This window comes from Homo sapiens, chromosome 14 (assembly GCF_000001405.40).
Source record: "Homo sapiens chromosome 14, GRCh38.p14 Primary Assembly".
In the NCBI taxonomy this organism is placed as follows: Eukaryota; Metazoa; Chordata; class Mammalia; order Primates; family Hominidae; genus Homo; species Homo sapiens.
In genome coordinates this window covers 74,956,171-74,983,508 of record NC_000014.9, presented here as the reverse complement: position 1 = coordinate 74,983,508, position 27,338 = coordinate 74,956,171, and the positions used below count along the sequence as shown (strand labels likewise).

The 27,338-nt window shown below is 52.1% G+C and overlaps 5 annotated features.

Moving 5' to 3' along the window:
- Nucleotides 1,712–2,335: an enhancer, noted in NCBI's record as "H3K27ac-H3K4me1 hESC enhancer chr14:75447877-75448500 (GRCh37/hg19 assembly coordinates)". NCBI's record gives its function as "activates a minimal SCP1, AML or CMV promoter by ChIP-STARR-seq in naive H9 embryonic stem cells {active_cell/tissue: H9 hESC(naive)}" and the evidence as "EXISTENCE:reporter gene assay evidence [ECO:0000049][PMID:30033119]".
- Nucleotides 2,336–2,961: an enhancer, noted in NCBI's record as "H3K27ac-H3K4me1 hESC enhancer chr14:75447251-75447876 (GRCh37/hg19 assembly coordinates)". NCBI's record gives its function as "activates a minimal SCP1, AML or CMV promoter by ChIP-STARR-seq in naive H9 embryonic stem cells {active_cell/tissue: H9 hESC(naive)}" and the evidence as "EXISTENCE:reporter gene assay evidence [ECO:0000049][PMID:30033119]".
- Nucleotides 2,962–3,587: an enhancer, noted in NCBI's record as "H3K27ac-H3K4me1 hESC enhancer chr14:75446625-75447250 (GRCh37/hg19 assembly coordinates)". NCBI's record gives its function as "activates a minimal SCP1, AML or CMV promoter by ChIP-STARR-seq in naive H9 embryonic stem cells {active_cell/tissue: H9 hESC(naive)}" and the evidence as "EXISTENCE:reporter gene assay evidence [ECO:0000049][PMID:30033119]".
- Nucleotides 17,075–18,274: an enhancer, noted in NCBI's record as "BRD4-independent group 4 enhancer chr14:75431938-75433137 (GRCh37/hg19 assembly coordinates)". NCBI's record gives its function as "activates an origin of replication core promoter dependent on BRD2, P300/CBP, MED14 and CDK7 cofactors, and independent of BRD4, by STARR-seq in HCT116 cells {active_cell/tissue: HCT116}" and the evidence as "EXISTENCE:reporter gene assay evidence [ECO:0000049][PMID:35650434]".
- Nucleotides 20,034–20,183: an enhancer, noted in NCBI's record as "active region_8733". NCBI's record gives its function as "activates an Ori minimal core promoter by ATAC-STARR-seq in GM12878 lymphoblastoid cells {active_cell/tissue: GM12878}" and the evidence as "EXISTENCE:reporter gene assay evidence [ECO:0000049][PMID:35858748]".

The window sequence follows — 27,338 nt, the reverse complement described above, 5'->3', positions numbered from 1 at the left end:
TTGTGTGTCACATTTTGTTTATCCATTCATAACCTGTTTTTCAAGATTATACTTTGTCAGATGTTAAATACTCTGATTTTTTTTTTAACTCAGCTGTTGCCATGTCATTAAATTTTTTTTCTCAACATGATTCTTTTTTTTTTTTTAAGACAGGGTATCACTCTGTCACCCAGGCTGGGATGATTGTGGCATAATCACAGCTTACGGCAACCTTGACCTCCCAAGCTCAGGTGATCCTCCCACCTCAGCCTCCCAGGTAGCCGAGACTACAGGTATATGCCACCACACCCAGCTAATTTTTTGTATTTTTTGTAGAGACAGGGTTTTGCCACATTGCCCAGGCTGTTCTCAAACTCCTGGACTTAAGTGATCTACCCTCTTTAGCCTCCCAAAGTTCTGTGACTACAGGTGTGAGCCACCATGCCTGGCCCTAAACATGATTTTTAGGGCTGCCTTTTCATTCCTCGTAGATGGAATGGCACGTATTTCACCAGTATCCTACTCTTAAATACTGAGATACTTTCTTTGTCTGCTTGGTTTGTTTGTTCACTATTATAAATGGCCCCGAGAAAAACATCTTGGTAGAAATTTTTTGGAGGGCCCTCCTGTGGCCCTGCCTGACTTCTGACGTCTCAGGTGATTTCCCAAGGGAGAACCCCAGGAGTAGAATTGCTCTTCAAAGTGATAAACACTCCCCAGTCTCTTGATAAATATCCCCCCAAACTTTCCAGAAAAATCATGCCCACTGCTCCTCCATGAGCAGGGTAGGAAATCCAGAGGCTTTTCCTTTGCTCACCACACATTCAGCAAATTTCTGAGCATCCATGGGCCTGGCCCTGAGGACCTGGGGTGCTGGGCTGTGCCTCATCTCTCCCTGGAGAAAGGTGGAGAGCTCTACAAACAAGGGTTCAGGGACTCCTGCAGCTCCCTGTCTTAAATCCTTGATGGCCATGGAGCCGAGTGGCTCGGGAGAGAGCCAGCCTGGGCAAGGAAGCAACTAGTGGGGTGGGGGTACAGCATCTCTATCCCAGGTGTGGCTTAAGGCTGGCCTAGGTCCACTCTGCAGACCCCTTAGTGGCTGCCCAGCCAGCCCCATGCAGAGGAGTAGCTATGTAAATGACAGCTGTTGAGGGTTTACTATGGGCCGGGCCCACTGACCCCTCACACAAACCCTGTGCTACAAGTACCTTTATTATCTCCGTTTTGCTGACCAAGGGACCGGGTTCCATTTGGTACTGTGTTTAAGGCACACAGCTGGTGTGCAGTAGAGCTGGGATTCATAATCAGGTCTAACTCCAGAGCTTGTGCTCTAGATGGTTCCCACGTCCTGCTGCTTCTCCCAGGGGCTCTCCTGGCATCCCAAGTCTGGGAGAAGAAAAGGAAGCACTGTGGGCCAGTGATGGTCTGTGGGGTGGGATCAGCTCTGCCCTCTCTGCCCAGCCTTGCTCAGCCCTAGGCCAGAGACCTCTGGCCACAGGGAATGAGGAACACTCCATGTCCCAGAGGGATCTGGCTAGGGCAGGAATGGGGCGACTAGGGCAGGGGCAGCGGGATCCACGCTGCACACAGAAAGCCTGATTGTGTACAGACTGTGTTCTTTGGAAAAACAAGTATCATGAAGTCGTCTTGTTTTGGACAATCTGATGTCCCAGAGACCCAATGCCAAAAAAAAAAAAAAAAAAAAGGGCTGAGGAACTGGAGCCAGCACCGTTGAAGCCTTCAGGTGAAGCTGGCCCTTCAAGGGTGGGGAATGGGAGCTCCCGCAGGCTCCCAAGCTGGAACCCGGTGCTGACGGCTCCTAGGGGTCCAGGCTTTGGGCCGGAGAAATTATTCCACATACAGATGGGAGCAGATCAGAGGAGCTCAGAGTCCTCTCCCGGACCACAGCCTGGAGGGCCACGTGCAGAGGGGCCTCACCACATCCAGGAAGCACCAAGATCCGCCTGAGCCCAAGGAGCAGGCGCAGAGGCAGCCAGGTTGGGGGCCGGCCAGGCCTCAGGCTGTCAGAGCACCCTACAAGGCAGGGAAGGCTGCTCAGCATGAACCCAGGCGGGGAGGGAGATCTTTTTTCCAGAACAAGACTCCCTGTGGGGCGCAGGAAAGAACTCAGTGGGCTCAAGAGTCTGGGACGTGCCTGCCTGACTCCGCTCAGGTCAAGAGGGCAGCCCACTGGCCTGGCCTCACCAGCCAAAGCCAACACAGGAAATGCCAACCAGACCTCAACATCCGGGCACCCAATTTGCTCTGGCTGGCAGGGAGCGTCGGTCTTCCCGGGCTCAGTTGTTGGCAGTGCTAACCAGAGGGAACCATGGCTTTAGTGCTCGCTCAGCGGATGCGGGGTCCCCGGGCATGTCCTCATGGGCTCTCAGCCCCAGGACAGGAGGAGCTGGGCAAACACACAGGAGACCAGCAGGCAGCAGGAGGGAGCCAGGCGTTTCCCTGGACGGCGGCCATCGGGCTGTTGTTGGGATCCAGTTTCAAGCTCCTTCGAGGAGAGCCGCATGGGGTCATCCCCTCCACGACGCCCCAGGAAGGAGACTGATGAGCAGACAGTTGTTAACGCCGCGCCGCCGCCGCCACCGTGGTGATTAAGGCCGCAGTAATTGGCCTCGCAGCCAGGCAGGGGCCGGGCCTGACAGCCGGCAGCCGCCAGGGTCTGCAGAGTAGGGGAGGGGGCGGCCCGTGCTGTAGCTGTGTGCGCTGATGGGATTAGGTTGTGAATTGACACTCAATCCTCCTTAGTGATTTCCTTCCTGGGGCCCCAGCCAGGGCCAGGACTGTGGGGATGGGGGTGGGCTGTGGGCAGAGAGCAGACATCAGCCTTTCCAGGCTCCTTTTAAGCTGGCCACTAGCTGGGGTGGGGGTGCAGGGTCTTCATCCAGGACTAAGCTTGGCCAAAGCCTGCTCTGCAGTCCCTCCGCAACTGCCCAGCCAGCTCCATGTGGAGGATGAGCTTTTCCAGTAGGGACCTTCTTTCCCACATTCCCACTGGTGCTTGGCGCTAGTCAAGCCTTGCGGGTGGCCTCTGTACTCCCAGCATGGAGCCTGGCACAGAGTAAGTTTACTAAGGATATTGGCAAACGGAATGGATGGATGTCCTCTTCCCTGATTGGCCTAAGTGCCTTGTGGGAGAATCTCTGTGACCCCCTCCAAGGTCTGGGTGGTACCTGTGGGAGCATTTTTTTACAATCTCAGGAGTGAAGAGCTCTCCAAAGACCACTAGGTCCCTGGCCCTGCCTCTCCCAAGAGCATCCCTCCAGCCCTCTCTGCTGGGCAGCTGTTCCACACTTCTGAGTTCTCCCCCCTGCATTCGTGCCTGTGTGCATGAGCATGTGTGCGCATGCATGCACCTGGGGATGTGTGCTTACGTCCGCCCAGGAGGGACACTGGCTATTTTCTTCCCCACGCATCCTCCGTGTCCTCTTGGCTTCCCGGGGTCCCTCTCGGAGGTCCTAGGCAGGAAGGAGGAAGGCTGTGTGTCTGGCGTGAAGGCCTGTGGGTCACGAGCTTTCCAGAGCCTTCCTTGTTTACTCTTCAGGCCGAGGCCCAGGCCACATCGGCCTCCCACCTGCTTGTCCCCTCAGGCTCTTCCCTGAGGGAGTGCCCCAGGCTCTCTGTGAGTAAGAGCTGGCTCTTGGCTGCTCTAGGCTATGGCTGGAATAAGGGGCATCCCCTCCACTGCTGGATGTGCTGGAGGCCAGGGCGCTAGAGACGGCAGCAGCCGTGGAGGGAGCACACAGGCCCAGCTGTCAGCCTCAGTAGGCAGGGGCAGAGCCAGCTCCCACTGGTGGTGTTAGGCAAGAAATGCCCCTAAGGCCTGGGGAGACATGTGCATATCCCAGGCACGTTCAGGCTGAAATGCAATCCGTCTTGCCTTCTTGCCAGGTTTGCCTTGAAAACCCCTCCACTGCCAGCTGCTCAGCTCTGCCCAGCCTAGGCCTCCAGGGCCCCAGGCTCCGCTGCCTGAGGAAAACCTGGATCCTTCAGGGAGGAGGGGCACCGCCGCCGCATTCCAAGGAGACCTCACACCCTCCCTCGCCTGCTGCTGCTTCCTTCTTATTCTTCGGCCCCTCTCCCCCATCCCAACCCACCACCCCCCCAGGGCTTTTCTAGCCCTCTGCTCCTCACATCCTCCTGCCCCCAGGGAAGAGGCTGAAAGCTGTGGTAGGATGAGCACGAGGCCTGGCTGTGCAGCCCGGGACAGCCAAGAAACTTCTCTGAGCCTCTGTTTCCTCATCTTTAAAATGGGAGTGACGAATGTCCACACCCTAATTACTGGCCTTGGAAGGATATCAATGATGCATTGCTGAGCGAAAGCAGCAGGATGTAATTCAGAAGGCATTGGAGATGCTCTGGAAAGATAGCCAATAAATTGCAGTCAGAGGCTACCTGCAGAGTCTGGGGGTGGTGAGAGAGGGACAGAGGAGTAATGGGTGTGTGGTGGGGAGAGAATTTTCACTTTTTACTTAATATACCTTGAATTTTGTTTCAGCAAGTATGTACCCCTTTTGTGATAAGAAAAAAAATGAAGACATTATTTTTCAGAGTTGTTCCCAGCTTTAAATGTGAATGTGTATTTGAATGACGGAAGAAGCCTCGGGCATGTGTGGCTGGGACAGGCTGCTCTCCTTCCCCGGAGCTAAATGACTCAGGTCTCCTCACTTGTCCACCTCCTTCCCTGAGGGGGTTAAAGCAGCAGCACTTCTGGAACAGAGAGAAGGGAGCCCAGAAGCCCCAGCAAGGCCAGAGGCCCACTGGGCCACAGTGGGGTGGCATGGAGGTGGCACCCCCACCCCGCCTTGTCCCTCCTTGTCTCCTGGCTGCGGTGGCCGCCCGGCAGGCCACTAGGGCTGCCCACTCTGCCTGGCTGGAGACCTGCTTCCAATTATCCATGAAATCTGAGCTGGAAGAGACCTATTAAAGCCCCATTTAGTTTGATCCCCCTGGGGGCCAGGGATCTTTTCCGGCGACATCCCCCTCCTTGTCCGACTGGGACTCCAAGCCCTTTGGATGTTATCTCCTCCTGGGTCAATATTGTGACAACTCCAGCTGTGACCCAGGCCACCCCAGAGCCAGAGCTGGTCTGCGCCTGGCCTGGCGAGGTGCGGAGGGGTGGGGGTGGAAACCCAGCTCCCTTCCCACCTTGAGGTTCCCGCTGCCCACTCCCCTCCTTTTTCCTTTTTTTCAGCTGCAGCAGGACCATCCCGCCTCCAGCCTGGCCTGCACCCCACGTTCCAGGCTGGTCCACAGGTTGCTCAGTGGCTCCTGGACCTACCTGGTCATCCCATAGGAAGCTCTTACTGGTAGGGACTGTCTTTCCCATATTCCCAGTCGTGCCTGGTACAGGGTTGCATGTTTCATAACACCCTGTTACATAAGAAATAATAAATAATGGTGATTAATGACTGCCTCCCCTCGTCCCTGGGCTTGCCTGGGTCAGACCTCCCAGGGAAGGCACAGGGGCTCCTGGAGGAGAAGGAGGAGGAAGAGGAGGAGGAGGAGGGGAGCAAGGGGTGCAGGGGGCACCCTCTATCCCTCCACATCCTCCCCAAGCACCTCTGCGTGTCTGCATGTCCTCCCCACAGGCCACTCCCTAGAGAGCAAGAGGAAGCCACCAGAGAGGGTAAGCACAGGCCCTGAAGCCCCCCAGAGAGGGAGGCCCCAGACAGAGGGAGGCCTCAGGGCTCCTGTGACCCTGCCTGCAGGGCGCACTCTCTCTGTTCAGTTGGCCTTGTCTCCTCGAGACCACCCTGGTGGAGGGATGATGCCTACCGAGGCCCCTGGCTCCCACCTCCCCGCAGCCGCACCCAATTTGGGCCTCTAAGCACCTCTCGTGGGTGAGACGGGGCTGGGCCTTTGGGGGTGGTCCGCTGGGGGAATTTGTGGCTTCTTTCCCAATTCTGGAGCAGCAGGGAGGGAGTGAGGAAGCCACTTTGGGGGCACGGCTGGGGCAGCCACTTGGAGGTGAGAGGAGGGCAGCAGGAAATGAAGGATAAGAAGGTTCTGGAGGAAGCAGAGAAGGGAAGGAGCTTGGGAGCAGTGCCCAGAAGTGTGCCCGGCCAATCCTCCCTGCCAGACTCCCCTCTGGGTCCCCACAGAGCTGCAGAGACCCCGAGACAGAGCCAGGACTGTGTGGGGAGGGAGCACTTCTAAAGGTCATCCCAGCCAGTCTCCTGCCTCCGACCACCTCCACCAGCCCCATGGGTGGATATGGATCCTGTTGTCCAGATCTTTGTGGACACAGATTTTGCAGCCTTTGCCACTGAAGGACTCCTTCCTTAAGTCTAGCTAAACCTTCCTTGCTGCACTTTAAACCTGTATTTCCTTGTTCTATCTAAAGTGGGTTCACATAAATGGATCCTCCTGCACCATTAACCTATTGCTTTGTTCCTCCAGAGTTCACTCCCCAGAGGAAAGAGCACCATTTGATCTAGCAGCTCCTAGGCACTCTGGCCCCACCATCATCCCCACCACCAGGCGCAAACTTGCAGGCCCAGAGACAGAGCCTGTTGCCTGGGGACCAGGGCAGAGCCATTACCCTTTGCTGAACCTGTCCTGAGTCCTCCTCATCCTGGGTACCACTTCGATGGGGGACACGGTGTGCTGAGGGCTGGAGGCCAAGGGCCAGGCCAGTCTGGGGCTGGACCCCTGCCACTCACAGCTGCTCTTTGCTGCAGCCTGGCAACCTCACAGGAATTTCATTTATCTCTGTCAAAAGTCAGGATGCAACGTGAAGCCTTCCTCACTTCCCTGGAGGTTGAGGGTGGCGAGGTGTAGAAGGCAGACTGGCTTTGGCCTTCCCCAGTACCCCTGGGCTGGGCAAAAGGAAGCTCACTAGAGCACATATACCCCACATGCACATAGAGATTCACCAGCATGTACAAGCACACACCTGCAATGCACATCGATGCATGCACACATTTTGGCATGTCTGCACAGGCTCACCTGCACAAAAATGTTCATATGCACATGCACGCGCCCACTTTCACACACGCACAGGCATGCTCATTTTTGCACATAGGTCCTATCTCCATGTACATGCTTGCTCATATCTTCATATGAACATATGTTCATCCACACACAATGGCACACTCCATGTGTGCGCACACGGGAACATTAATGGGAGGCTGTTAGTTACTGCTTCCTTCAAATTTATGGAATGTATCCTGGAAGTTGTTCAAAAGTCCATAGAGAGGAGGAGCAAGGGGAAGGAAAGGAAGAAAAACACCAGGCCCCTAAGAGGGGGTCTCTCCCATGCCCTTTGGGAGCCACTGGCCTCCCAGGACACCAAGAGACACCAGGCCTTGCAGAGTGGAGTTTCAAGAGGTGAGCATGGTGGTAGTGCATTCCAGGACAAGGGGTGGCCTGAGCAGGGGATGGAGTGGGGAAGGTTCAGGCCAAGTTTGGTGGAAGGCTAGGAGACCACTTTATTGGAGCAGAGGGTTCTCCGGCTCAGCCTAGGGGATGATGAAGCCAAAGAGTGCAAAAGGGCTTTTTGCAATGGGGGCCAGGGAACTTTTCTAAGCAGGAGACTGGAAGGATCCTAATGGCCCTTTGGGAAGCTTCATTCACTCAATGCCTCCTACATGCTTTGTCTAAGGGGGCACAGAGGGGAGATGGATGATTCTGCCTGGAGCAGGTGGGAAGGGCAGAAACAGCTCCCCATTTGACATGGGCCTCAAAGGATGGATTGGAGTCATCCAGACAAGGAAGGACAGGAAGGATGACCAAAGCTGGCAATGGAACCTGGCAGCTGTGTGTATGTGTGGTGGGAAGGAGGGCTGTGCTCTTCATTCATGTGTGCCCCGTAGAGCCAAGCACAGGTTGTCCTGAGGAGCTGAACACAGTGTCTGTGCCAGAATCAAGGAGTCCAGGCAGCTATGACGGTCCCCCAGGACATGTAAAAAGAAGCAAGTAAAAATTGCCTGATGCTACCCTGGGCCAGGCTGACCTGACCCAGGGAGGAGAGCAGCTGAGTGAGTGCGAGCCATTAGGGAGGACACAAGACAGGTGCCAAGGCCAGCTGGCTGACCCACCAGAGAGACCCACTTAGGTCTCAGGGGTAACAGCCATTTGTTTCCCCACCCAGATAGAGAACATGTGGAGGTATGGGAAGCTACCTGGCCGTACTCCTCTGACACCTCCCCTCCCTGGGAAACCTCCACCAAAGACATTCCCGCCAGCCCACCCACCCTACCCCCACCATCCTGCTGTGGTCAAGTGGCCAAGGGCCCAGCACTCCAGGCTCCAGCCCCATCACGGCCCCCTCCAGCCTCTATCTCTTCAGAGCGGGAAACACCACATCCCAGCTGTCTGTCCCAAATCCACCTGGAGGCCGGCCAGCTTGGCCGAAGCCCAGCTTAGTTAGGCCAGACCCAGGAGACACTGCCGGGAAGAGGCAAGGACTGGAAGGAAGCGGCTGGGCCAGAGACGGGCCCCTCTCTGGGGCTTACCCAGTAGGGTTCCTCCTGGCATACCCATGGGTTTGCCCATTGCCATTCACTTCTGAGCCCCTGGTCCCTTGGGCTGCGGGCTCCAGGCCTCTCCCTGCAGCCCTGAAGAGATACAGGTTGCCATAACAGCTGGTGGTTGGACTCCACCCTGATCGCAAAAGGCTTCGGGAGGCCTGGCCTTGGGCCCCACTTGGGACAGAAGTGAATCTGGTTGGAAACCCGGAGTCCTGTCCTGCAGACTTGAAAGCTTGTCAACAGGCTTACGCAGAGACCCTCACCCTGAGAATAACTCCCTCCTTCCTCATCACCTTCCCACCTCCCGCAGCCAACAGCTTGCATCAGCAGCAACAGCTGCTACAGGCCCAGGGGCAGCCTGGGGCCACCACCATCACAGTGGGAGGTGGAAGAAGGCCAGGCGCGTGGGGCCCAGGGCTGCTCCACCCTCCCTGTTCTGGGCAGCAGGCAGCGCTCATCCTCCGGACCCCAGTCCCACGGGCCTCCAGCTCCTGAAGAGGCTCCTCTCTCCCTTCCCCTCGGCTTTATCCTTTACCCACACCGCTCCCAGCTGGGAGACACTTTTCTGCTTCCCATAGCAACTGGAGGCCACAATTAGAGGCACCTCCAGAAATGCCCTCTGACGGGATGTTTGCCGCATTCCATGCAAATTCCTTCTTTCCCCCTTTTGCCTACTAAAAAGAAGAGCCAGAGAAACCCAAGGTCAGGGGTCAAAGAGCAGGACAGGGACAGCCAGAGGAGGAGCAAGACAAGCACCTGAGAGACAGTCCCCAAAGGCTGCCTGGTTAGAGGGCAGGAGACACAGGAGAGGACTGGAGACAGAGGCCCAGGGTTGGGCGACAAAGTGGGGTGAAACCTGGGTGCTCCTGTGGGGGACAGGTGGCCAGCGCCAAGACAATCTAATGAGGGCAGCGGGCTGGCCCCCTCCCCTTCCTCACTGCCACTCTCAGCCAGGCCTGAGGCTCTAGGTCACCTGCTAGTGCGGGAGGCAGTTAAGGGTGTGAGCTTTGGGGCCAGACACTAAGGTGTGTCCCTAATAGGCTGTGTGCTGCCACCTCTCTATGCCTGGCTTTCTTCATCTGGAAAATGGGGCTCCTATTGCACCCACTCTTCTTGTGAGGCTTAAATAACCGAACACATATGAAGTGTGCAGCAGAGTTCCTGGCACCTGGAAGTAATTCTAGATTAAGCTATCATTACTCCTGTTTTCTGAGCCTTAATTTCCTTGTTAGTGAAAGGGAGGTGAATAGTACTCGTAGTCCCGGGGCTGTGGGGATTGGGTGGAGTGAGACCCTCAGGGTGGTACGTTCAGTAGATGTCAGTGCAGATCCTACCCCAAGCCCACCTGCCCACCCCACACCCCAGCCCCACTCCTCGCTCTGCCGCAGAGGCCCTGGGGCAGGCCTCATGCCCAGTCAGTAACAGGTGGCAGAGCTGGCAGGGCACAGGTACAGCCTTGCAGGGGATGTGGGGGGTGGTCCCTCCTGTTTCCTTCCCCCAGCTGCTGGCTGCGCAGGCTGTGTCTGGGAGGAAGGCTGAGTGGAGGGAGGCAGCAGGCCCAGCCACGTGCAGCCTGGGCTGAGTAAGCGCCCCACTTCCTGCCGCCACTGTCAGCAGCTTCAGCCACCGTGGCCAGCGGGAGGCTCACAATGCTTGCTGTGGTAGGAGCTCGGGGACTGGGCAGGGTCACTTCCCTGAATTGTCCTCACCGCTGGCTCCTCCCAGCACACCTGGCCACCCGCCTGCTGCCTGGGGAATCATGGGGTGCCTGGCCCGGCCTGCAAGCACCATCCTGGGTGGCAGCCGGCACCCAGGCCTCACAGGCCAGGAGGTGAGACCTTGGCTGGGCACTTGCTCTGGGGTCTGGACACAGCACAAGGCTGGGACCGCAAGAGCGCCGCCAGGCTGGGTCTGAGTTTTGGCCCAAGTTGGCTGTGCCCTCAGCCAGGCAGCAACATGAGCGACCACTATGTGCAGGACTCTGCATCAGGGCTGGGCTCAGGCCACACTCCCTGCAGCCCTCCCTGGCAACATCTCCCACTATCTTGGTGGGCTTCAGGCATTAAAGACCCCAGCAGGCACACAGCCAGAAGAAATGCAAATGGCCAACACTGGCACAGAGAAATGTTCAACTGGACCAGCCAATAACAAAGGAAATATGTCCAAAGCCAACCCTGAGGCACGACTTTCATGGAACTCATGGGCAAAGATGTCAAAGAATGATAGTACCAGGGACTGTCAGGGTGTAGGGATCTCATCACTCTTAGACGTTGCAGGAAGGACTGCACACTAGGATGACCTTTTTGTAAAGCAAGTTGACAATAAGTATCGAAAGCTTTGACCCAGAAATTCTACTTCTAGGAATTTAAAGGACATGAGCAGCAACTACATATAGAGATGTCCATCACAGCATTGTTAATAATGGAGAAAACATTAGGTAAATCCTAAAGCCCAATTATAGGTGAGTTTGAAAAGAAAAATTTAGCCAGGCGCAGTGGCTCACACCTATAATCCCAGCACTTTGGGAGGCCAAGGTGGGTGGATCATTTGAGGTCAGGAGTTCGAGACCAGCCTGGCCAACATGGTGAAACCTTGTCTCTACTGAAAATGCAAAAATTAGCTGGGCGTGGTGGCAGGTGCCTGTAATCCCAGCTACTTGGGAGGCTGAGGCAGGAGAATCACTTGAAGCTGGGAGGTGGAGGTTGCAGTGAGCCGAGATTGTGGCACTGCACTCCAGCCTGGGCGACAGGAGGAGACTCTGTCTCAAAAAAAAAGAAAGAAAGGAAAGAGAAAGAAAGAAAGAAAGAAAGAAAGAAAGAAAGAAAGAAAGAAAGAAAGAAAGAAAGAAAGGAAGGAAGGAAGGAAGGAAGGAAGGAAGGAAGGAAGGAAGGAAGGAAGGAAGGAAGGAGGAAAGAAAGAAAGAAAGGAAGGAAGGAAAGAAAGAAGGAAAGAAAGAGAAAGAAAGAAAGAAAGAAAGAAAGAAAGAAAGAAAGAAAGAAAGAAAGAAAGAAAGAAAGAAAAGAAAAAAATTTAGCCATGCAGTTTTAAGTATCCCCTGGGTAAGTGGTAAGTATTTAACAATATGTAAGTGTTAAGAATGATGTCAAACAGTGTGCTCTCAAACTTCAATGTGCACAATAATTCCCTGGGAATCTCATTAAAATGCAGATTCTGATTCAATAGCTCTGCGATGAGACCTAAAGTTCTGCATTTCAACAAGCTCCCAGGTGATGCCAATGCTGCTGGTCCCCGGACCACTGTTTGAGCAGCAAAGCTGTAGAATTTTCACCATTGATATGAAAAGGCCTTCCCAAAATATGATAAAATGAAGAAAAGCATGCTGCAAAACAGATGTCATTTTATTTGTTTATTTATTTATTTATTTGAGACAGAGTCTCACTCTGTCACCCAGACTGAAGTGCAGTAGTGAGATCAAAGCTCACTGCAGCCTCAAACTCCTGGGCTTAAGTGACCTTCCTACCTCAGCCTCCCTAGTAGCTGGGACAAGAGGCATGCACTGCCATGACTAACTAATTTTTAAATTTTTTTTGTAGAGATGAGGGTCTCGCTATGTTGCCCAGACTGGTCTTGAACTCCTGGCCTCAAGCAATCCTCCCACTTTGACTTCCTGAAGCGCTGGGATTACGGGTGTGAGCTACCACACCTGCCATGACGCCATTTTTATAAGGAAAAAAATATATGCATGCACAGAAAATATCCACAAGGATATAACAAAATATTAATAAGGGTTTTCTCTGAGTAATAAGATTGGATAATGTTTATTATTTATGCTAATTTGTATTTTCTACAATGAATATACATTAATTATTGAATTAAGACAAATTTAGTGTGTTTTTACTGCGGGGCCACACTCCTAAATGTAAAGGGTAGTTCTCACTTGAAGGGGAGGCATTGGTAGACCAGTTATGAAAAGTGCGTCACTTGGTGCAGGAGTCAGCCCTGAGCTGGGAAGGCCTGGCTGGGCAGAGGTCTGGGAACAGGATTCTCTTGACCTGGACCATGAAGCTTCGAGGAATTTCCAGGTGGTGGACAATAAGCTGAGCTGTCCACATGGAGGCTGGCACAGGATGGAAGCTGAGGCCCCCAGCCCTTGACGCAGGAGGGCAGCTGTCTCAGACTCCAGATGCCGACCCATTCCCAACCCCTTGGCGTTTGTTTCCCCTCTGATCTTCCTTCCCTTGAGTAAACACTGGGACCAATGAGGTGGTAGCAGCAGGAGTCAGAAAGAGAGAGATCTCCTAAGGGAAGGTGAATCTGGTTTTGAAGGCAGAGATCAGATTCCCAGGATGGCTCCAGCAGAAGTTCTTTCTCTAGGACCAACCTCTGAAAGTCCAGATTTTGCTTCGACGGGGGACAGATTTCTCTTACAAAGTGGATACTACATGCTCCTGCTTGAGGATGATGTGATTCCAGAGAGGGGCATCAAGCATTTGCTCAGTATTTTGTGGGATAACGTGCTGGATGACCTTGGGTGGTCCCTGAAAACCTCACCAGCTGAGTTTTCTCAGCCATAACAGAAAGTACTATTTTGTGTGCTTCATAGGGCTGTGAGCTTCAAATGGCTTTTTTGTTTGTTTGGTTGGTTGGTTGGGTTTTTTTTGAGACAGGGTCTCACTCTGTCACCCAGGCTGTAGGGCAGTGGTGTGATCTCGGCTCACTGCAACCTCCACCTCCTGGGCTCCAGCTATCCTCTCACTGAGCCTCCTGAGTAGCAGGGACCACAGGCACGCACCACCACACCCAGCTAATTTTTTGTATTTTTGGTAGAGATGGTGCCTCCCTATGTTGCCCAGGTTGATCTCAAACTCCTGACCTCAAGTGATCTGCTTGCTTCAGCCTCCCAAAGTGCTGGGATTACAGGCGTGAGCCACCGCACCTGGCCTCAATTTTTTTTTTAATTTCTGCATGTGGCCAGAAGCAGTAGCTCATGCCTGTAATCCTAACACTTAGGGAGGCCGAGGCGGGCAGATCACTTGAGGTCAGGAGTTCAAGACCAGTCTGGCCAACTTAGTGAAACCCTGTTTCTACTTAAAATACAAAAATTAGCCGGGCATGGTGGCACATATCTGTAGTCCCAGCTACTCAGAAGGCTGAGGAAAGAGAATCGCTTGAACCTGGGAGGCAGAGGCTGCAGTGAGCCGAGATCACATCACTGCACTCCAGCCTGGGTGGTAGAGTGAGACCCTGTCTAAAAAATAAAAAAATAAGAATCAGCCAGGCACAGTGGCTCACGCCTATATGGCTCACAGACTATAGCGTTTGGTACTATCCATGATTTCAGGTATCCATGGGGGGTCTTGGAACCCCAGCACTTTGGGAGGCAGATGAGGGTGGATCATGAGGTTGGGAGATAGAAACCAGCCTGACCAACATGGTAAAACGCTGTCTCTACTAAAAATATAAAAATTAGCCAGGCGTGGTGGTGCGCGCCTGTAATCCCAGCTATATTCAGGAGGCTGAGGCAAGAGAATCGCTTGAACCCGGGAAGCAGAGTTTGCAGTGTGGCAAGATCACACCACTGCACTCCAGCCTGGGCGATAGAGCGAGACTCCATCTCAAAAAAATTAGCCAGGCATGGTGGCACGCACCTGTAATCCCAACTACTCGGGAAGCTGAAGCATGAGAATCGCTTGAACCTAGGAGGCAGAGGTTGCAGTGAGCCAAGATTGTGCCATTGCACTCCAGCCTGGGCGATAGAGCAAGACTGCCAAAAAAAAAAAATTCTCTGCACATTGTAAAAGGATGTGCCAAGGCTGAAAATCTCCCTATTCTTCTTGTTCTTTTTCAGAGAGAAGATGGCAGGAACCTTCTATGTTGCCCTCAGTGGCTTACCAGCTGAGGTTCTGCTCCCCTAGACGTCACCCCTACCCAGACCATGAGCTTAAAATGTTTATTTTTCTATGTCACTGGTTCATCTCAAGCATGAACATATGAGATGTTTTGGGGGCATGTTTAAGATGAATTTAGCTGGACTCCAAACACAGCCTTTAATAACATTGAATCATGGAGTGAGAAAGCTGTCCCATTTCCAATTCTCTTTCCAAACTTTTAATGAGCCAAAAGAAAGCCTTGGTTAGGAGGTAATGTGTCTATAACACCTCACTAACACTTGCTAATTTTCCTTTTAAACAAAAAGAAAGTGGGCCTTGGGCTTAGATTCTCTGCCAGCAAATCCAGCTATAATTTAATTGATTTTTGTAGTTACCTTTCTATTTAAGGTAGTGATACAAAGTTTCCTTTAAAAATATTTTTAAGTAAAAAAGAATCAATTAGCTTAAACAAATATAGTAGTCCCCCTTATCCAGTTTTACTTTCCATGGTTTCTGTTACCTGTAGTACAGTACAGTAAGACATTTTGAAAGAGAAATAGAGAGATGGACCACATTCACATAACTTTCATTACAATATATTGTTCTCCTTGTTCTATTTTTTTTTGAGACGGAGTTTCTCTCTGTCACCCAGGCTGGAGTGCAGTGGTGCTATCTCAGCTCACTGCAACCTCTGCCTCCTGGGTTTAAGCGATTCTCCTGCCTCAGCCTCCTGAGCAGCTGGAATTACAGGTGCACGCCACCATACTCGGCTAATTTTTGTATTTTTAGTAGAGACAGGGTTTTACCTGTTGGTCAGGTAAAACCCTGTCGGCCAGGGTTGGCCAGGCTGGTCTCGAGTGCCTGACCTCAAATGATCCACCCATCTTGGCCTCCCAAAGTGCTGGGATTACAGGCTTGAGCCATCTCGCTTGGTCTTTTTTTTTTTTTTTTTTTTAATAGAGACAGGGTCTTGTTATGTTGCCCAGGCTGGTCTCAAACTCCTGGCCTCAAGTGATCCTCCCACCTCAGTCTCTCAAAATGCTGAGATTACAGGCATGAGCCACTGAACCTGGTCTGTTCTATTTTATTACTTATTGTTGTTAGTCCCTTACTGTGCCTAATTTATAAATTAAACTTTATCACAGGTATGTAGTTATGGAAAAAAACAGACTATATAGGGTTTGGTACTATCCATGATTTCAGGCATCCACGGGGGGTCTTGGAACATATCCTCGATAAATAAGGGGGACTACGGTAAATAAGTAATACTACAGATGGCGATATGGTTCACCTGTGCCCCCACCCAACTCTCATCTTGAATTGTAGCTCCCGTAACTCCCACATGTCGTGGGAGGGACTCAGTGGGAAGTAATTGAATCATGGCGGCAGATCTTTCCCATGCTGTTCTCGTGATAGTGAATCTCACGAGAGCTGACGGTTTTATAAAGGGGAGTTCCCCTACACAAGCTTTCTCTTGCCTGCTGCCAGGTAAGATGTCCCTTTGCTCTTCCTTCATTTTCCATCATGATCGTGACACCTTCCCAGCCATGTGGAACTCTGAGTCCATTAAACCTCTTTCCTTAATAAATGACCTAGTCTTGGGTATGTCTTTATTAGCAGCACAAGAATAGACTAATAGAGATGGTATTTGGATATGGCAAGCAGCATGACTGTGGCACATGGTTATTGATAATTTTGGTCTCTGGGGAGATGCAGACATCCCTAGGAGAAGTGATACCTCCAAGGGACTCTTCTGAGACCCCTGCCAATTGCTGCTTTACTGTCTCCGTGTGATTCCTTGGCTTTTCTTTCTTTTACTGCTGAATTTTCAGCTCCTCAAAGGCTGAGACTGTGTCTTAAGCCTCAGAATCTCTCCCAGTACCCAGCACAGGGCCTGGAACAAGGTAGATGTCATTCAGAAAGTGCTAAGTGGCCAAGCAAGGTGGTTCTGTAATCCCAAGACTTTGGGAAGCTGAATCAGGAAGATTGCTTGAGCCTAGGAGCTTACGATCAGACTGGGGAGCATGGTAAGACTTCAGCTCTGCAGATAAAAAAATTAGCCAGGCATGGTGGTGCACCCCTGTGGTCTCAGCTACTTGAGAGGCTGAGGCAGAAGGATTCCTTGAGCCCAGGAGTTTGAGGCTGCAGTGAGCTGAGCTCGTGCCACTGCACTCCAGCCTGGATGACAGAGCAAGACTCTGTCTCAAAAAAAAAAGTGCTAAGAGGACTGAGATCAGAAGTCAGACTCCATGCAGCATAAGGAACCAGGAGCCTGAGTTCTGGTTCTGACCTCTAACCTTGCTAGCTGTGTGGGCCTGGACAAGTTCTTCAGCTTCTCTGAGTCTCCCTCACCTCATTCATCTGCCTCACAGCGGTGTTTCCAGCACAAAGTATATGAAAGGAGTCTGAAATCATACGTCTCTATAAGAGATTATTAATACTATTATTGGTTGAATCACAAATCTATTGTCACTGAAAATCTTTCCAGTGCAGACAACCAGAAGTAAAAATGAGGAAAAAAGGGAGGTGCTACGAGGGAATGAGAGGCAGGAGGCCTGGAAAGGGGGAATTGGGCCCCTCCTTTACAATCTGATCCGGGTGTGGGATCACCTGCAAACTGCCTGATATGGTTTGGCTGTATCCCCACCCAAATCTCATCTTGAATTGTAGCCCCCATAAGCCCCACGTGTTGTGGGAGGGACCCAGTGAGAGGTAAATGAATCATGGGGGTGGGTTTTTCCCATGCTGTTCTCGTGATAGTGAGTAAGTCTCACGATATCTGATGGTTTTATAAAGGGCAGTTCCCCTGCACACGCTCTCTTGTCTGCTGCCACGCAAGACGTGACTTTGCTCCTCCTTCCCCTTCTGCCATGATTGTGAGGCCTCCCCAGTCATGTGGAACTCTTGAGTCCATTAAACCTCTTTTTCTTTATAAATTACCCAGTCTCAGATATTTCTTCATAGCAGTGTGAAAATGGACTAATATACTGCCCCCTGTGACCTCAGCATAGGCCTTCCCCAGCACGGGACCCCGGCAATGTCTAATGCAAAAAGCATGGTCTGGCATCATATAACTAGTGTTCAAGTTCCAGCTCAGCCACCTACTGGCTGGGTGACCTGAGGTAAGTTACCCAACCTCTCTGTGCTCATGATTCTCATCACTAAAGTGGGACCAATGCCAACCTCTCAAGCCCGTTGTGAGAAATGAATAAGATCACACATGTATACATGAGCCCTGACATGTAGTAAGTGCTTGGTGAATATGGGTTCCAGGGAATTCTGCAGGCTCCTGGAAGAAAGATACGGAAATGATTCAGGTGCATGATGTCATCTGGAGCATTGAATTCATCATCTGGGAGAACTGGACTCCCCAGAGCTTTCCTGACCTGAAGCTAGAGCTGGAAAGTAAGAGAGTAAAATCACAGATGTCAGTTTCCAACTCCACCTCCATTCTCACCCCACGCCCTCCCACCCCCACCTCATTACACCCAAAGTAGGGGCCAATCCTGTCCCTTAGGATCTCTTGGGCTATAGACTCGAGACCTTGCTCTTTCAGATGAAGGAAGCTGGAGGCAGAGGAGGATCTTTGGAGAAGCAGCCAAGTGTTCTTTGACTCATAGAAGAGTCCAAGGCCCGAGGGGCCAGCTGGAGGTCCACTGTCTGTCTGCTGAAAGCTCTGCTAGACTTTCTGTCTCCTCCACCCCTGGAGATCCAACCATAAGTGGAATTAATCCGGCTCCCCTCTGCACCCCTTGCCCCCAACACAGTTTCCTTCCTGTGCTCCATGGGAGATGAGAGCTGAAAGGGAGGGATGCATCTGGGGAGGCTGGTCTAGCTCAGCTGGACCACAACATCTGTATCCTTAGCTGTGGCCTCCTCGTTCCTGCTTCAAACTGGGAGGGAATGGAAGAGCCCAGTTCTTCCCAGGAAACTGATGTGACTCACTTCCCAGGAGGAGCCATGGAAGAATGCAATCTTTTCTCTATGACACTCATATAGAACCATGGGACTAATTTTCTCACCTTTAGAAGGCAAAAATGGGAAACAGCACATTTTAATAGAAAACTCCAAAATAATAGTGGTTTAAACAAGATAGAAGCTTATTTCTCCAACACATAATAATAATTCTGGATGTAAGCAGGTCAGGGCCGGTATGGCAGTTCCACACAGTTTTCAGGGTACCAATTTCCTTGCAAATAATTCTCATGGCCCAGGATGACTGCAAGAGCTCCTACCATCAGGTTTGAATTCCAGGCAATGTCTGGCAGATAGGGAAGCAGTGAAACATGCTCCTTCCTTTAAAGATACTTCCCAAAGGTCAAGCCCAACATTTTCACTTACACCCAGACCCTAAGAAATTCTAAGGGGTCAGGGATTGGCCAAAACGTAGTTCCAAGGCCACAGCCAGCTCCAAAAAAGGCTGAGAAACAAATTATTTTATCAGGATGACACTGGGTCCCATCCCTCTCCTCCCACGGTCACTGTCTTGATTCAGGCCACTCAGCTCTGCAGTAACCACAGATCTTGTTTTCCTGCCTCTGGGACAAACCCTTCACCTGTCCTCAGTTGTTTCTCCAAAACACACATCTGGCTATATCACTCCCCTGCTCAAGAACCGGCGATGGCTCCCTAGAGCCCTTGGAATAAACTGTGAACTCTCAGTCTGGTCTTCAAATCTCTTCACAACCTGACCCCAGCCAGCCTCACCTCCAGGCATAGCCCTTCCCCTCCCCTGCACACAGTCTAGCCCCATCAGATTCCTAGATGTTCCTCAAATAACCCATACTGTGTCCAGCTTCACTCCTTGACTATAATGCCCTTTCTGCCCTTCTATTCCTCATAAGCTTCAATCCGTCCTGTAAGATGCTACACAAGCATTACTTTCTCCAGGTCACATCTTTCTTGACCCCTTTCCTGCTCCCTCTGTGGGCCTCCTCAGAAGTCTCCCGAACACTCTGTCTTCCACACGCCTGAATGTGCTGGAGAGGACAGGCCACCTGGAACGTGCAGACCTGCTCAGCTGCCTGCAACCACAAGTCTGCGTCAGAGCCCCTGGAAGCTCTTTTTTGCACAGACTTGGTATTAAGCCAATGTTAAGCTGTTCTTCCTGGACTGGAAGCTGCTCGAGAGCCATCACCGTCTTGGTGTCCCCAGCACTGAGCCAGAGCTGGCACCGTACAGGGTTGAATGCAGGAAGAACTCATAGAACACTCAGTTTCTTGTCTCCTTCCTCCTTAGCTCAGGCCACCCCTGCCAGGAGCCTCTGCTCTTTGTCAGGGATGAAATCTGAGCCTGCCACACAGGTGCTCTGGTCCTGTGGAATCACCCACCCTGGCCTCGCTCTCTCTGAAGCACAGAGGACAACTGACCAAGCTGTAACACTCCAAGGGATGACAGTAAAATGGAACAGATCCAGCTCTCCCAGTGTCCTCACCCAGATCCATGCTGCTCCAATTATGAGTTTAGTCCGTACTGTCCCCACTGACCTCCTGCTCCCTAGCAGAGACAGCGTCACTCCCAACAAGCACATTAGCCCCTTGCCATCCCCCAGGCTCCCCGGATCAGGATGAGCACTGGATCTCCTGCCAAGCGGAGACTCCAGACCTTCACCCCAGTGCCAGCTCCGGGATGCCGAGTGACAGCCTTCGGGGCCAGACTGGCTGCCTCCCGACTCTGCAGCCTTTGGACACAGTGTGCAGAGGGTGAGGGGCCGCTTCCTCTGTCTCTGAGACATGGGGGACCCCAAGCCCCTCCCACAGTCGCTCAGGGAAGTCCTTCAGTTACCACCCAGAAAGCAGGCATTGCTTTTTTTTTTTTCCCCATTTGGGGTGGGGAAGTCCCCTGAAGAAGACTTTAGTCACACTGCCACCTTGAAGACACGCTGGGGCATTAAGACCTCCTTCTCCAAGAAGCCTCAGGCCCTGGTCCCGGGGCCCATCTCCTCTCCCTTTTCACAGAATCTTCTAGCAGGGCTCGGATGCCTTCCCTAAGGGAAGGGATGGTCAGGATTCCCAGGCCAGGGAGATCCAATATGTATTTTGATTCCCCACCTTTATATACACACGCACACACGCAGCCTAGCATCATCTTCCCCACCGTTTATGCTCCCTTAGCATTTTGTACCTTGGCTGTGTTCATCAGAGGCTGATTCATAATTATCTGTGGTTGTCTAGGAACTGGGATCACCTCTGTCTCCTTATGTGCCTGGCACACAGAACAGGCCCCATGGACATGGGCACCCTCTTCTCTCTCATCTTATCCCCAGATCCTTCTCTATGGAGAAGGGGGTCTTGGAGGTTGGCTCCTCCCCTTGGAGGGCTGAGAAATAACCCAGAGACTCTCCTGTTCTGGGATGGCTTCCCTGACAGGTGACCAGGGTGGTCTGCTAGGAGCTTGGAGGAAATGTATTTTCTCCCCGAAACAATCAAGATCACTGAAGTTGTTAAGCATTTACAACGTACTGTGCTGCATGATTGGCTTCCTCTTCCTCATTTAAGCCACACAGCCCGCCCCTGAGATGGGTTAGGAAGCTGCAAAGACTTGCCCAAGGTCACACGGCCAGTAAGAAGCAGGATCTTAATCCCTCCCCGACACTGTCTCCTAGGTCAGCCTCAGCTGATCCTTGTCCATTTCTCTTGCTTCTGTTACTTGCGGGCTGCGGGACCCAGGACCTCGCATGAGTGACTTCACCTCTCTTGACCTCCATTTTCTCAGCTGAAATGTGGGCACAATAATACTTCCCTTGAAGGTGGTTCAGAAATTTCCAAGTATTGAGCGTGTTAAGCAGGGAGCCTGCACAGAGTAGGTGCAAATGGCAGGAGCCACCACCTGCCAGCATCCCCCAGGCCTCCCCAGTGGAGTGGGGGCAGAGGAAGTGGTGACCTACTGCCCCCTCTGAGGAGAACCACCCAGCTGTCAACCCGAGGCGGGACCGCCCCGAGCGATCGCAGGCTCTCCATTTCTCCAAAGCCTCCGTTCCTCATCACAGCCAATTAGTTACAAATAGCTTCCTCTCCTCGTGTATCACTTACACAACAGAAAGGGGTGATTGTTCCTGAGGAAGAAGGTCTCCCTGGGCCCCTCTCGCCAGAGCAGCTGAGAGCTGCAATGGGGATGGGAAAGGGGCTTAGGAGAAGAGGGGCACAGTCCCGGGAACTAAGGATGTGGTGGGTCCCAGGCAGGTGGGAAGGGACTGGCTGAGTGTCCACCCCTGGTGGGCAACAGACAGGTAGGGGTCCAAGGCTTAGAAAGGGCCCTGTGTTGTAAGAGCAGAAAATGAAGATAGCTCAGAGGCCTCGCTCCTGAACAGCAGCTCACCAAGCCATCCCCAGCTGGGAAGGGACTGGCTGATTGTCCATCCCTGGTGGGCAACAGACAGGTAGGGGTCCAAGGCTTAGAAAGGGCCCTGTGTTGTAAGAGCAGAAAATGAAGATAGCTCAGAGGACTCGCTCCTGAACAGCAGCTCACCAAGCCATCCCCAGCTGGGGAGGGATTGTCACCCTCTGGGGTACCTGGAACAGAGCAGGTGCCCGGCCTCTGGATTTCAGAAGAGCTTTCTACACCACTGGGATATAAACACCCTCTCTCAAATCAGCCATGGCTGGCACTCCAGTCCTCCAGTTTTCTTCTTTTCTTTCTTCTTCCTTTTTGTTGTTTTGTTTTCCGGAGACAGGATCTCACTCTGTCGCCCAGGCTGGAGAGCAGTGTTGTTGTGTTATCACAGCTCACTGCAGCCTCAACCTCCTGAGCTCAGGCAATCCTCCTGCCTCAGTCTCTTGAGTAGCTGGGACCACAAGAACACACCACCATGCCTGGCTATTTTTTTTTCATACAGATGGGGTCTCACTATGTTGTCCAGACTGGTCTCAAATTCCCCCCAGGTTTCAATAAAGCCCAGGTTATTGAAGCTGGGTCCTGGAAGAGCCTGGGAGGAGACTCAGTGTTCGGGAGGCTGTCTGGACATGAGGTGTGGGCTGTGGCTCCCAGAGCCTCCCTATGTCCTTGATGGTCCTTGACTTTGCTGCCACCATTAAGCCAGGTCCCTCCATTAAAGCTTAGGGCCAAGCACGCACAGAGTCCCCCTTTGTCACCACTCTTAGCACAGCTGAGACCAGCTGGCATTTTCACAAAGGGCTTTACTAAATACTAAGGGAGAACGAAAGGGAAATAATTACAGAAAACACGAAAAACCCAGCCCTGGCTGCCAAGTTCCCAAAGTACAGGTTTCCATTCCTTTGGTGATGACACATTGCCCCAGAAGCCTGGGACAAGGCCGTGGGCACCTTGCCTGGCTTCCCTCGTTCCCAGCTCTTGTGGCAGATGCCATCTTCTTTCCCACTCCTGGAAACACTTGGACACCCATGGGCTCTTCTCCTGGCCCCCTTCCAACAGGGCCCCACCCCAGGCCTCCCACTGGGTTCTGGTCTCTGGCCTGAGACATAAGCCTTGTCCCCTGGTGGCTGGTGGGGCTGTGGTGACCAACCCAGCACATGATTACACAGTAACAAGAGATGGTTCCCCCACACTCTCCGTCCCTCACCATCAGAGGGGCCCACCCAAGTTGAAAGTTCTTGAGTATGGGGTCTAGGAGGGGGCACCTCTGAACAGCTGAAGGGCACGTGAGTAAGGGAGGGCCAGACTTGGGACATTTTCCCCATGCGGAAGGTCTAGTCTCTGAGGATTGATCCAACTCAAAACATATCAATTAAGGCCTACTATGTCCCAGACACTGAGCAAGGTGTGGAGGCTACAAGGGTAAACAAGAGACACAGTACCTGCCCTCTTAGATCTTACCATCTTTTAGGCAAGACAGATAAGCAACTGGGCAATTGTGATACTGAAGGCCAGGTGCCATGATGGAGGGGAATTCAAGGTACTGTGGGAACCTGTACCAGGGATGTCTTACCCAGTGCTGGTTGCCAGGGAAGCCATGGAATCCTGCCTAGAACAAGTGCATAAAGAGAAGAAGAGCTCAGGATGGAGGCTGGGGTGGGTCCACAGGAAATCGCAGCCCAGGAGGCAGGGCAAGAAGGCAGAGGCCAACCAAGCATCTGCTTGCTAGCAGCTTTGAGTAGCTGCTGGCTATAATGCAGGTTCAGTCTATAAAGTGAAAAGGCCCTTGGCCCAGAGCTGCCCACTGTTTCCCTTTCTACCAGTCATGAAGGGGAAGATAATCCTTGGATGCTACACTTCTCAGCCACCCAAGTCCGGGACTCAGGAACAAGGTCAGAAGCAGAGGGTGTTTACCCAGGACCACTTGAGACACCTCTCCAGAGGCAGGTGCTGAATTGTCGTTAAGAGAGGACAAGTCATCACTGGGGAAAAGTTCATAGGGCCAAGACAACAAAGAGGCTAGAAAATGGGAAAATGGCTAGAAAATGGGGAAGTGAGTCAGGAAGCTGAAAGCCTACAAGCTGGGATGGGTTGGGGCAGGTGTTTCAGGCTAACACGATGACTAATAATATGGGAAACTGTGTTTGCAGGATGCCTTGGGGGCCAGGGGCTGGCCTGCAGACTGGAAGCCATGACTGCTCAGGGTCCACTGCATTGTCATGGCCCAGTGTTTCCACACCCAACCCCTCATGTTTATCTGTATCTGCCCGACTCCCCGCATAAGAGTCAGCTCCTGAAATCAGGGCTCCTTCCTTCCACACATCAACCATCCCAAGTCTGTCAAGCATCCATTCTGCTCCAGCATGGGGAAGACCCAGAAACGGCTCAAGACATCAGCCCTCACCTTCAACGTCCTTGCAGTAAGGTTGGGAGCTAGCGCTTAGGTTCACTGGAAAGACCTTTGGAGAAAGATCTCGGCTTGATCCCCATCACTGTTCCTTTTTAAGTAGCTAAACGACTATTGGAAAATTACATAAACTCCCTGGGCCTCCATCTTTCCATCTTCAAAATGGAAATAATTAAAACCTACCACTACAATGTGATCAGAATTCAATGAGTCAAGGTGGTTAGAGCACCAAGCACACTGTTTGGCATATAATAGATGTTCAATAAATATTACTTCTCTCCCTGAAACAACAGCAAGAGATTGTGGTGATAAACAGTTAAGTGTTGAGTTGTGGGCACTGACTGCCACCCCCTAAGCACCTGGGTCTACTTCAAGGGCCTCAGTGACAGTTGAGGATTGAGAGCCTGCACTGTGATGGTGAGAATTAGTGTTTGTGTGCACCTATGCAAATCGCTCCATTTTCTTTCTCCACTGCCACAGGCAGAAGCATAAGATTCTTTATTTTCTATCTCATGTCCATGCTACAGGACTCTGCTCTGTAACTGTAGTTTGTTTTTTGTTTGTTTGTTTTGGTTTGTTTTTTTGAGATGGAGTTCTACTCTGTCGTCCAGACTGGAGTGCAGTGGCACGATCTCGGCTCACTGAAACCTCTGCCTCCTGAGTTCAAGTGATTCTCCTGCCTCAGCCTCCCGAGTAGCTAGGATTACAGGTGCCTCCCACCACGCCCAGTTAATTTTTGTATTTTAAGTAGAGACGGGGTTTTACCATGTTTGCCAGGCGGGTCTCGAACTCCTAATCTCAGGTGATCTGTCCTTCTTGGCCTCCCAAAGTGTTGGGATTACAGGCGTGAGCCACTGCACCTGGTCTAACTGTAGTATTTTTATTTCTCTAATACAAGTCAAAAATTAAATTAGAAATCGTGATCAATTGCTACCATTCTTTGCACCAAAGGTGCTTTCTCAGTCCTCGCACAACCCTATGAGGTAAGTACTGTTATCATTCCCACTCCTACAGATGGAGGAAGCTGGGGCTCTGAAAGCAAAGGAAGCTGCTTGAGGCGATGTGGCTGGTCAATAGTGGGGCCAGTGTACAAAGGAGCACAGCCTGGGCAAGATGGCAAGACCCTGTCTTTACCCCCAAAAAAAAAAAGTTTTTAAATTAACTGGGCATGGTAGCACACACCTGTAGACCCAGTTATTCTGGAGGCTGAGGCGGGAGGATCCCTTGAGCCCAGGAATTGGAGGCTGCAGTGAGCTATAGCCAGTGCTACACCAGTGCACTGTAGCCTGGGAGAGAGAGCAAGACCTCGTTTCTAAAAATTAAAATTAAAATTACAAAAATTTAAAAAAAAAACAAGGGAGCAGAATTACTAGCACAGCTGCTCTGGACTGGATGTGAGCAAGAACAAACTTTGATTCAATCCATGGAAATGTTAGAGTCTCCTTGGTCTCTGCCGCTGAGCCTACCCTAGGCTAATTCATCTCACAGCCCAGGAAGCTGGGTTTAGAAGGGTATGGTCCCCAATTTAGTGATGAAGGACTGAGGTGCACTTGTGGGAACCACAGACTTCGCCCAAGGTGTTGAGTTCACTCAGGAAAGAGAACTTCGGCATCCCCAGCCATCGGTATCCCCCTACTCCATGAATGTAAACTCAGAGAGACCCTCCATATCATATCCCTAGCACCTAGAGCAGTTCCTGGAGCATAGCAGGGCTCAGGCAATACATGCCAAATGAAAAAACAAATTAATGAATACAGGCTGGGCGCGGTGGCTCACACCTGTAATCCCAGCACTTTGGGAGACTGAGGTGGGTGGATCACTTGAGACCAGGAGTTCTCGACCAGTCTGGCCAACATGACAAAAACCTGTCTCTACTAAAAATACAAAAATTAGCCAGGCATGGTGGTGTACACCTGCAATCCCAGCTACTTGGGAGGCTGAGGCACAAGAATCGCTTGAACCCATGAGGCAGATGTTGCAGTGAGCCGAGATTGCGCCACTGTCTACCAGCCTAGGCGACAGAGCAAGACTCTGTCTCAGAAAAAAAAAAAAAAAATACAAACTCATACACAATAGACACATCCCATGCATAAGTGCTAGAAACACTCAGTTATAGACAAGCATATACAATGAAGATACTTAAGCACACGCGCACACACTTGTGCACAATACACACCTGTGCCCACATACACAAATCCATACCCAAACTAAAGACACACACAAACACGTGTATGTATACAAAGATGTTATGGGCAACATATACAATACATATATGCACAAACACACACCTACTCACCCTCACACACATGCACAGTGACCCTCCACAATGATTCTGGGCCCAGGAAGCAGTTTGTCTACCCCACGAACCCCAGCTTGTTTGAAGCTCGTCAGGATGTTCCTTGCAGACCCCGCTTAGCCAGCTGGTGACTGGCCCCCGCCTCCTGAACCTCCAGGCTTAGGGCCGGCCAGGCAGGCAGGCTGCATCTCTGGCAGCCCCTCGTGGGTGGGCAGGCAGGCAGGCAGTGGACGCAGAGGTCACTGGGGTGAGAGCTGGGGCTGCCCTGGCCTCCCTGCTCTTGGCTGGAATGTGAGCTGTAGGGGCCACTTCCCAGGCCTCGCTCCTCCCCCACAGCCACCCACCAGCCCCAGGCCCAGCCAACTCGTGACTCCCAGTCCTGCCAGGTTCCTGCAGCCTGGGAGCTGGACACAGAAGGCAGTGAGAGGAGTGGTGGTAAAGAAAGATCCAGAACCAAGGGAGGGCACACACAAACGCAGAGAGAGAGGCACAGTCTTCACCCACAGAGACAGACACACACACGCAGAGACAGGCAGGCGTGCAGACTCACAGTCCCACCGAAAGATACACATTCAGACACTTCCAAACACACCCAGATACACAGCGGACACGAACAGATCACACAAGCATACAGAGATACAGAGAGACCTGACCCCCACACAGAGGCGTATTTGGAGGTACAGTAGTCACACGTACTCAGACCACACAGAGGCTCAGATGCACCGCTCATGGATATTCACAGACCCGCAAATGCCCATGCACACGCGCAGATGCACACAGACCCCCGCGCAGCGTACAGTTCCTCCTCGGCCAGGGACCAGGAGGAGATGCCTGAGTGAGACCACTCTCTACCACAGGGGGCTGCCCCGCAGGGAGGGCCTGGGAAGACTGCTTCCCAAGGAGGCAACAGGCCTGATCCTCCAGCCAGGTGCCCTGAGAGGTTTCCTGTGGGAGGCCCACTGTGTCCGTGCCTGGCTAGGAGGGTGGTAGGTCGGGTTAGAGTT